This window comes from Homo sapiens, chromosome 4 (genome assembly GCF_000001405.40).
Source record: "Homo sapiens chromosome 4, GRCh38.p14 Primary Assembly".
In the NCBI taxonomy this organism is placed as follows: domain Eukaryota; kingdom Metazoa; phylum Chordata; class Mammalia; order Primates; family Hominidae; genus Homo; species Homo sapiens.
In genome coordinates this window covers 183,626,611-183,638,173 of record NC_000004.12, presented here as the reverse complement: position 1 = coordinate 183,638,173, position 11,563 = coordinate 183,626,611, and positions in this window count along the sequence as shown.

Below are 11,563 nucleotides of genomic sequence, written 5' to 3'. Positions count from 1 at the left end.
CTAGCTGTGCGTGGTGACAGGCACCTGTAATCCCAGCTACTCAGGAGGTTGAGGCATGAGAATCGCTTGAACCCGGGAGATGGAGGTTGTGGTGAGCAGAGATCACACCATTGCACTCCAGCCTGGGCAACAGAGCAAGACCCTGTCTCAAAAATAAATAATAAATATAAAAGTCATGCTATGTAGTAACAATAGAGATTTGTGTTTGCGTGTTTTTACCTTTGAATATTCCAGAGTGAAAACAGAACAAGAGGGATTGGACATCTAAGATTCAAAATTTCAGTATTTTCAGTTAATGTGACAAAAAAATAAGTAATATGTAACCCAGAGTGATTTTCAAATTTGTGTTCCTTTAGTGAGGAAATTAATTAGGGGTCTTTACTAACATTTTTTAATGGAATGGGAGACAATAGAATTGAACAGAAAATACCAGCATGCACTACCTGTTGTAAGAGGGTTTTTTTTCCCTGTGAAAACTTTAGTTTGGGGTGTGCATGTATGGGTACTGAGTCACTATGTAAAGTTTATTAAAATGAGTCATGAAAAAAGTGTGAAAGCCACTGATCAGAGCACGCGAAAGATGAAACGACTTTTATATGAAGATTGTTAATTTTCAGAGGCACAAAATGTGCCTTTCAAAGGGCTAAGGACTTTTATCATTGATTTTTGCATTATTCCTGAAGATCAATTAAGTAAAGCTACATTGCACAATATGAGGAGAGGAGCAAGTGTTTGATTGAGAATGAGATCTTTAATGACTTTGTAAATTTGTAATAATGAAAATTCTTGCATGATAATTTTTGCTTATATGAAGAGCTGAGAACATTTTAAGAGGCAATGCCTGAATAAATAAGTAATTTTAATAGCCTTAATTTCTCACTAATGAGAACCAAAAATAAGAAAATTATTTTAACTTTCCCATTTCTAGAGGAATACCATTTTTGCTTGCTGAGCTTCCTGTATAAATCTAGTTTCCAGAATAAATTGTCGTAATAGGTTGATTGTGGTGATACAGTAAGGCAGGAAGCGTCCCCACCCCTGCCCGTTTTCTGTTTGTTATTGCTGGCACCTGGGAAGTTTTAAGTGATCTTGCCTGTTTGGCTGCAGCCTTCTGGATCTATAATAGGTCCTTTTCTCTGCCTGCCACGAAGTCTGGCCTGTTGGGAAACTATTCTTGATATTTTAAATAACAAACTACGTCTATGCTCTGTTGTTAGTGAAAGAGAATCCAGCTTAGAAAAGAAGGAAACTGTTGGGGAGTGGAGGGGGGGATGCAGATTTAAAATATTTTGCTTCATAATTGGGTGATTAGAAATCAACCTTAAAAGTTTAACACTGGGGCAGTTTTTAGAGTACACAAAGCAATCGGGGAAAATCTTTGTGTTTAACATGGCGGTGGAATTGACTAAGGAGGAAGCTTTTCCTCCTAACTGCTCCGGCTCTTCATTCTCCTGCTCCTACGGCAAGAAGACGCTGCATGCCATATGTTTGTTTTTACAGAGGGCAGTAGGTGTTCTGCATTGCTTACAGTCAGTCTCATCTGTGAAGGAACATACGAAGATTTGGACCCTGGAGCCTACGGGAGATTTTCATCTCTGAGGCTTCTTCGCAGAAAGCCAACACTTTAGCTTTCATATTCTCTTCACTATCCTTTGTATTACTAAAATCACACTTTTTTCAAATATCTACGCAACAGTATGATTATTTTTAAAACACAAAACTATTGGCCTGGTGTGGTGGCTCATGCCTGTAATCCCAGCACTTTGGAAGGCCAAGGCGGGAGGATCAGCTGAGGTCAGGAGTTCGAGACCAGCCTGGCCAACATGGTGAAACCCCATCGCTACTAAAAATAAAAAATTAGCTGGGTGGCCTGCAGTCCCAGCTACTCAGGATGCTGAGGCAGGAGAATCGCTTGAACCCAGGAGGCAGAGGTTGCAGTGAGCCGAGTTTGTGCCTCTGCACTCCAGCCTGGGTGACAGAGACAGACTCCGTCTCAAAAAACAAAAACAAAAAAACTATCAAACCTTTTCCTCCCCCTTCTGTTTTTCTGAAGATCGCTAAACCTACCATTGTCACTTTGCCATTTCACTTGATAAATTACACTAACAAAATATTCTTTACCTCCCACGGGCATCTCACAAATTTTAAATTGATAGATGTTAGTTTTTTTTGTTTGAAATTCTCATGATAACTGAGGAATCATGCAGTTTTGGTTATAAGAATGTCCGTCCATCTGCTGAAGGAAAGCTGAACTCCCGCTGCATGCTGACAAATACCATCTGTTACATTTTTCCGTTGGTTTCTATATTTTTCTTTTTATATGTCAGTGTTTTAAAATTTCTTATTTTTTATTTTTATCAAAGTCATACATGTAGATAGTTTTAGAAGGCAAGTAGTTCTGCAGGGCTTTTAATTTTGTAAAAAAAAGATCTTTTTCCCTTCTCTCACAATCTCCACCCCGCGGGGGTAACTAGTTTCGGCTACTTTTAGCGTGAACTAGTCTCTAAGGCCATAGACTCCTGCTAGCTCTGGCCCTCCCCTCGTCTTCCCCAACATGATCCTGCCTGTGGCCTTTGTTCTGGCTGTTTCCTCTGCTCCAAGTCTGCTTTTTACTGAGTGAGGCGGAAAGCCTTCAGAGGGTATGTATTGAGCGGAGGAGTGAGGGGATCTGACTTGTGTGTTGAGAATAGGCAAGCAAGAGGGAAGGCAGGAAGGCCAGTTAGGAAGCTGTTGAGGAAGTGGGTGAAGAATGACGATTCCTTGACAAGGGTGGGAGGTGGGAGTGGGTGAGAAGCGGTCAGTTTCTGGATATATAGTGAAGGAACTGCTGACGGGCTTGCTGGTGAATCCAACGAAGGATGTGGGAGAGCTAGAGGCATCGAAGCTAACTCCAAATTGGATTTTAGCCTAAGCAATTGAAAAAAAATCAATTGATAATGATACTAGTTTTGTTTAACTGATCCTATAAATAAGGCAATCCTATAAATAAGTAAGGTAATCCCAGTGAAACTGCAACTGGATTTTTAAAAGAAAGAAAAGCTGACTCCAAAGTTCTTAAGGAAAACTAAGCATACCAGAATAGACAAAAAAAAAAAATTTTTTTTCAAAAACAGTGATGATGTGAGTTTAGTTCTTTCAATTAGTCAAACATGGCCCAGCGCAGTGGCTCAGCCTGTAATCCCAGCACTCTGGGAGGCCGAGGCGGGCGGATCACTGGGTCTGGAAATCAAGACCAGCCTGGCCAACAATAATGAAACCCCGTCTCTACTAAAATACAAAAATTAGCTGAGTGTGGTCGTACACACCTGTAGTCCTAACTACTTGGGAGACTGAGGTAGGGGAATTGCTTAAACCGGGGAGGTGGAGATTGCAGTGAGCCGAGGTCACACCACTGCACTCCAGCCTGGCGACAGAGCAAGACTCCATCTCAAAAAAAATAAAAATAAAATTTAGTCAAACATTTCCAGCAGCAAGAATTAAAGTGATACTGTGCTGATACCTGCTCAGATCAATGAAAGAAAATAGAGCCCAGAAATAGACCTAAATATATATATATGAGAAAATTTAATATGCAGTTTCTTCAATGTATGGTATTGGAGAACCAAAGAGCCACTGGGGGAAAAAGGAAAGGTACTCCTATCTCACTCTTAACATCGCAGTAAATTCAGAGAGATGAAAAAAACTTTTAAAATAAAATGGATTTGTAATCCCAGCATTTCGAGAGGCCAGGATGGGAGGATTGCTTCAGCATAGTAGTTTAAGACCAGCCTGGGAAACATAGTGAGACCTCCATCTCTACGAAAAATTTTAAAAATTAGCCTGGTGTGGTTGCATGTGCCTGTAGTCCCAGCTACTCAGGTGGCTGAGGTGGGAGGATCGCCTGAGCTGGGAAGGTCAAGGCTGTAGTGAATCTGTGATCATGCCCGTGTGTTCCAGCCTGGACAACAGAGCAACACCCTGTCTCAAAAAAAAAAAAAAAAAAAAAAAGAAAGAAAAGAAAAGAAATGGAGATTTTAAAAATAGTTTCAGGATGAGACAACCTTCCCAAAGTATGACACAAGACTCTGAAGCCATAAAGAAAATGTTACATTTGATGACATAAATGTAAAAAATTGTGCGTGGAAAAAATTGCATAAATAAAACTAAGAAAAAGTACTTTTAGTATACTTATACATAAAAAACTCTTAGATGTGACAGTTTCAGAAAAGGAAATGTAAATTTATGTTAAACAAAAGGACACACCCTCATCACAAGAGAAACTAAAACTGCAGGGAGATTCTGTTTTTCTCCTGTGACACTGGCGAAGACTGAATAGCTTGGTGACATATCAAAGGTGTGAGGAAACCGGTTCTCTCTCACAAGTTGTTTTGAGTGTAAGCTAATGCAACCTTGACAAAGGACAATTCAGCAATATCCATCAAAATCACAAAGGCCTTTGGTCCAGAAATTCCACTTCTAGAAATTGTTTCCACGTCTGTGCTTGTCTGTGTGAAATGATCCATGTACAGGGATAAAGTCTTGTGTCATTACTTGCCCATACTCATCAGTATCTTCAGGTATGTCCTGGGTCAAAGGAGCCGGATTAGACAGGGGATCAAAGAAAAGCATTTGCATCAGAGTAAGGGGGATGTACGAGAATGCATACCCTGCCACATTATTTGTGTAGATGTAAGAAAATGATGTCTTTCGGCCGGGCAAGGTGAGTCACACCTGTATAATCTCAGCACTTTGGGAAGCCGAGGCGGGCAGATCACCTGAGATCAGGAGTTCGAGACCAGCCTAGCCAACATGGTGAAACCCCGTATCTACTAAAAATACAAAAACTAGCTGGGCGTGGTGGCAGATGCCTGTAATCCCAGCTACTTGGGAGGCTGAGGCAAGAGAATCGCTTGAATCCAAGAGACGGAGGTTGCAGTGAGTCGAGGTCGCGCCACTGCACTCCAGGCTGGGCAACAGAGCAAGCCTCAGTCTCAAAAACAAACAAAAAAAGAAAATAATGTCTTTCCACTATAAAGTGGAGAATTATTGAGAGAGTCAGTCCACCACGGGCCCCGGGACCCTGCGTGTCTTTGCAGACTATGCCAACCTGCAGGGCCCACCACGCTCTGACCAGGGTGTAGCCATTTGTGTAGCTAGTCGTAGAGGCAACCACAGCACGACTGCCAGGCCACTGTTTGTCCCATAGGGAGGAGACTGGATTGTTACCACTTGCTATCAAAGGTGCAGAGCCTGGCCTGTGCCACGGGACTTGGGGTCAGGAGACCAAGCTCTGTCATGCTGAGCTGCTGTCGTGTGCTGTGCTGAGAGTAATGAATTGTCTCGCTCGGATCCACCAAGTCTTATCTACTGCCGGCAACCATGCGCTGTGGCAAGTCCATCGGCTTGCTTGCTCGGTCATCTCCTTTGGGTGTTGTTACTTCTGGCCATCCTCTGTGAGGTTGGGGTTCATCCCTTGATGGGAACAAGAGTACCGTAAATTACAAGGTTGTTTAAGAGATTGGAGAAAATGTTTGTAAAGAGCCTAATACTATAAGAGTAGGCAATAAGTGGTGGTGATTATTTTTAAAATAAATACTTTGTCACCTTTGTTCTAATCAGATGTCCTTGAATATTAATATCAAATGTTTTCCGGTTTATAAAATCTTGGCTGTTATTCTAATACATAAATGATCAAAACAGAGAAAAATACATTTTCTAAACCTGTGTGTTTCAGGCAGGCTGGTTTGTAACCTAGTAGTGGATACAAATTCAATTTAGGGCTGGGCACAGTGGCTCACACCTGTAATCCTAGTACTTTGGGAGGCCAAGGCAGGTGGATCACCTGAGGTCAGAGGTTCGAGACCAGCCTGGCCAACATGGTGAAACCCCTTCTCTACTAAAAATACAAAACTTAGCCTGGCGTGGTGGCAGGTGCCTGTAATCCCAGCTACTCGGGAGGCTGAGGCAGGAGAATCGCTTGAACCCAGGAGACGGAGGTTGCAGTGAGCTGAGATCGCGCTATTACACTCCAGCCTGGGCGTCAGAGTAAGACTCTGTCTCAAAAAAAGAAAAAAAAAATCAATGTAGTAGATTTTTAGCAACATCTTTTTTAATGAACAAAACAGTTGAATAGAATATATTGATCGGAATGCAATACGTGTTCTGAGAGTAGATACTGTTTGTGAAACATTTTTGGCTTGCTTTAGAATGGGCGTGTGTGTGTTTAAGGACTGGGTTGTGGCATAAAATCTACTATGAGTTCTATTTTAAAAAATTGAAAACCACTTTTCTAAATCTTAAGTTGCTGCTCGACTTTAATGGTTGTGAGGGTTTCAGTGGAATCAAATCAGACGACCTTGAATTGAACCAGAACAGTGCTTAGATTGGGCCAAAGGTGGCAGGGAGTCAGTCCGGTGAATTCTAGCAGTCCACTAGTTGGAGTGTCCAGAGCGTTTTCTCTCTGGCACCAACCCACTTAACAGGGCAAGTGTCCTAGAGAGTTCAGTCTGAGACTGAAAAAACAAAACAACACACAAAAAAAAACCCGACCACTTTCCACTGTCAGCAAATAACTTCTTTAAGATTTTATTTTTTTCTACCTATAAAATGGAGCAAACTATAATATAGAGCAAAATCCTGCATTTTACTTAAGCCTCCTGTTTCTTTCTTTCTTCTTTTTTTTTAGACTGAGTCTTGCTCTGTCGCCCAGGCTGGAGAGCAGTAGCACAGTCTCGGCTCACTGCAACCTCTGCCTCTGGGGTTCAAGTGATTCTAGTGCCTCAGCCTCCTGAATAGCTGGGAGTACAGGTGCCCACCACCACGGCAGTTAATTTTTGTATTTTTAGTAGAGATGGGATTTCACCATGTTGACCAGGCTGGTCTCGAACTCCTGACCTCAAGTGATCCACCCACCTCGGCCTCCCGAAGTGCTGGGATTACTGTCATGAGCCACCGCACCTGACAAGCCTCCTGTTTCTTAATAAGCTGCAGAATTTGTTTTACACTATTTTCCACTTGAGCTGTACCTGTCATTCCAACTGCGTCATGCTTGAAATCAGGACATCTACTTCTGCATTGAGTCAGTGATTAAAAACAAAAATATATTCAATTTCTGCACTTAAGTTGTAATTCTTTTTTTTTTTTTTTTTTTTTTTGTGAGACAGAGTCTCAGTCTGTTGCCCAGGCTGGAGTGCAGTGGGGTGATCTCAGCTCACTGCAAGCTCCGCCTCCCGGGTTCACGCCATTCTCCTGCCTCAGCCTCCCGAGTAGCTGGGACTACAGGCGCCGGCCACCACACCCGGGTAATTTTTTGTATTTTTTAGTAGAGACGGGGTTTCACCGTGTTAGCCAGGATGGTCTCGATCTCCTAACCTTGTGATTTGCCCACCTCGGCCTCCCAAAGTGCTGGGATTACAGGCATGAGCCACTGCATCCGGCCCTTTTTTTCTTTTTTTTAAATTTGCAACCCTATTAACTGACAAGTTGTGATTTTTGTTTTTGGTTTTTTTTTTTTTTTTTGAGACAGAGTCTCAGGCTGTCGCCCAGGCTGGAGTGCAGTGGTGTGATTTCGGCTTACTGCAACCTCCACCTCCCGGGTTCAAGCGATTCTCCTGCCTCAGCCTCCCAAGTAGCTGGGATTACAGGCACACACCACCATGCCCGGCTAGTTTTTGTATTTTTTGTAGAGACGGGGTTTCACCACTTTGGCCAGGCTGGTCTTGAACTTCTGACCTCAGGTGATCCACCCACCTCGGCCTCCCAAAGTGCTGAGATTACAGATGTGAGCCACCACGCCTGGCCTCCACGTTGTGATTCTTTAAGTGAAAGGAGAAACGTCATTCTGAAGAAGTTGAAAATCAGTTTAAAATTTCCTCATCTTTCTAAATGTCACCTTTAAATCATTTCCCTTTTGCACATTCAGTGATATTTGTTATTGAAAGAAATGCTGAGTGACTGTTTCAGAAGGGAAGACGTGGCAGACATCTCCACTTAGACAGTGGGCCCAGGTCTGGCTGCAAAGTAAACACTTGACCCCATGTCTAAATCTGGTTCCAGGGAATTTTGTCCCTCTTCTGAGGCCATTGGGCTGGGCAGCTTCCCTAGCAATTTTCTTAACTCTTCCCCGTGGTGGAAACTTTTTTTTTTTTTTTTTTTTTTGAGACAGAGTCTTGCTGTGTCACGCAGGCTGGAGTGCAGTGGCACAATCTTGGCTCACTGCAACGTCTGCCTCCCAGGTTCAAGTAATTCTTGTGTCTCAGCCTCCCAAGTAGCGGGGATTACAGGACCACACCACCACGCCCGGCTAATTTTTGTATTTTTAGTAGAGATGGGGTTTCACCATGTTGTCCAGACTGGTCCTGAACTCCTTGCCTCAAGTGATCTGCCTGCCTCGGCCTCCCAAAGTACTGGGATTACAGGTGTGAGCCACTGCGCCGAGCTGAAACTGATCCTCGTTGACTGGCTCAACAGAATTTAGTTTCTTGGATTTATAGCTTAGATCAGGAATAGGCAGATCTGTGGACACTTAAGTAAAAGATTTTGGTGAAGAGTCATTAACTCAAAACTTGCAGCACTATCATAGACAGCCTAGGCAAAACTTACTGTAAAGAATGGCAATTCTGCTTCCATCTCTTTTCCCGGTCCCGGCATAGACGCCCTGTTCCATAGACACTCAGAGCCCACATGCTACAGTAAAACCCCAGAGTTCCAACTTCATGTCCCATCCCCTTACCTGCTTCTCTCAACCATATCCTAAGTTCATGTCCCCTTTCCCCATGAAACTCATATTAATGCCTCTGATTAAGTGCCATTCTGTGTTTGGAGGAAAACTGTTTGCTTTAAGTAACTCATCTGCCCAGCACCACAGCTACATCCTGGTTACAGGAGTATCCATATTCGATTTCCTGGTGCACAGGATCAAATGCCTCTGCTCTTACCCGAGGCCCACATCTTCACTTGGGTTCTTTCTGTTTTCTTTGTTTGTTTGTTTTGTTTTTTTTTGAGACGGAGTCTCGCACTCTCGCCCAGGCTGGAGTGCAGTGGCACCTTCTCGGCTCACTGCAAGCTCCACCTCCTGGGTTCATGCCATTCTCCTGCCTCAGCCTCCCGAGTAGCTGGGACTACAGGCGCCTGCCACCGTGCCCGGCTAATTTTTTGTATTTTTAGTACAGACGGGGTTTCACCATGTTATCCAGGATGGTCTCGATCTCCTGACCTTGTGATTCGCCCGCCTCGGCCTCCCAAAGTGCTGGGATTACAGGCGTGAGCCACCGCACCCAGCCATCTTCACTTGGGTTCTAAACCCCATTGCCTCTAACGTTCTCAAAGGCTTCCACAAATCAACCCTTTCTCTCTTGTATCCGCTTTCTTTCTACTGAATCATTCCCTTCAGCAAACAAGCATGCTCTAGTATCTCTCAAACAACAAAAATGAAAGCCCTTGGTTGATCTCCCATCCATCTCCAGCTCACTACCCCTCTTTCTGCTGACCTGCACAGCAAAGCTCCACTTTAATATTAATAACTGCCCAGTCTCTGATCTCCACATGGGGTAGAAACCAGTATTAATCCCATTTCACAGTGGATCCATTTATTCTGGGTTGCCTCTGACTTGCCCAGGCTGGTGCGTCTTTCCATGACACACAACAGCTGGCATTTTCATGCCTCTGAAGACCTGCCATTTCATTTCACTGGGGACTCACTGCAGTGCAGACAAGCAAGCATGTTCCCTGAGTCAAAAGGGACACACCAGCTCACACAGCGCGACCTCTACCTGATGGGAGCCCATAGTGTACCGAGAAGGCCACAGCAATGTCTTCCCTGATTCTGGACGTCCACTGGAGGCCAAGGGCCGTCAAAGCCCCAGAGGGTCCATGTCAAGTCTGGCTTCCTTGGAGTAAGTTCATTTTTGTGTGTGTGTTTCTTGGGAGATCCCAACAACCGCGCATTCAGCATTCAGAACAGATGGCCTTTATTTCAGCAGGTGTTTCTGGCTGACAGCTTATAGAAGATGGGCATCACAAATAGCATCAGCCTCTACAGAAAGGGGGAGAAAGACAGCTGGGAAAGTTGTAAGGAGCCCCAGAGCAGCTTGTTCTCCCTCGCCATGGGCGGTTGGTTCTCCCTTGGCCCACGTCCTCAATCTGAAATACTCATCCCGCTCCTCTTGTCCTTTACCTTCCTCCAAATATGGCTCAGGAGCAATGTCCTCCTAGAAGCCTTACTCTCCCTGAAATCTAAACACAAACACAGTAGATACATGATCTTTCCTCCAAGCCACCAGAACCCTAAAGACATGCATCAAAAATCTGAGATTGCAAACAAATGGAAGTGCAAAAATACAACATTCATGTGCTGTTGGAAGTTTTGGTCTGGGCCGGGTGCAGTGGCTCACACCTGTAATCCCAGCACTTTGGGAGGCCGAGGCGGGTGGATCACCTGAGGTCGAGTTCAAGACCAGCCCAACCAACATGGTGAAACCGCGTCTCTACTAAAAATACAAAATTAGCCAGGCGTTGTGGTGCTTGCCTGTAACACCAGCTACTCGGGAGGCTGAGGCAGGAGAGAATCACTTGAACCCAGGAGATGGAGGTTGCAGTGAGCCGAGATCACGCCATTGCACTCCAGCCTGGGCAACAAGAGCAAAACTCTGTCTCAAAAACAACAACAACAACAAAGGAAGGTTTGGTCTGGACTTACTAAGAACCAGTAGTATGCAATGAGATTTGGCAGGACTCCAAGGAAGATGCTCTTGCTTTCTGGCTTAAGCCAAGAGGCTGTAAGGTTTGAACTTGCTGCAGTCTCACCTTGTGATCAATGGAGAGTCAGATAGTAGCAGGGACTGAATGCTAAAAAACCGACAGGGAGCTGGGCACAGTGGCTCAACCTATAGTCCCAGCTACTCAGGAGGCTGAAGCAGGAGGGTCGCTTGAGCCCAGGAGTTTGAGGCTGCAGTGAGGTATAATCACACCACTGCACTCCAGCCTGGGTGACAAAGCGAGACCCTGTCTCAAACAGACAAGAACCACAAAGCCTACAGGGGCTGGGCTGTCACAAAATGTAAGCAGGTTCGGTTTAGAGAAAAAAAACAACACAAAGCACTAAGGAATGATGAGTTTCTACTTAGCCTCCAAGTCAGTGACAGTCAGGGGTAATGGGGAGTATGGTGATTTGTGGAGTTCAAAGTTAGCCGCTGCTATGTGACTCCAGCCTGTTATTGCCATGGAAGAAGAAAAGTAGAGCATTACTAGATCTTTTAAACAGTAGCCAGAAAGTCATGTTTTCATTTTTATTTATTTATTTGGAGACGGAATTTCGCGCTTGTCACCCAGGCTGGAGTGCAGTGGCACAATCTCAGCTCACTGCAACTTCCACCTCCCAGGTTCAAGCCATTCTCCTGCCTCGGTCTCCAAAGTAGCTGGGATTACAGGTGTGCACCAGCACACCTGGCTAGTTTTTGTATTACTAGTAGAGACAGGGTTTTGCTATGTTGGCCAGGCTGGTCTCGAACTCCTGACCTCAGGTGATCCACCTGCCTCGGCCTCCCAAAGTGCTGGGATTACAGGCATGAGCCACCACACCTGGCCT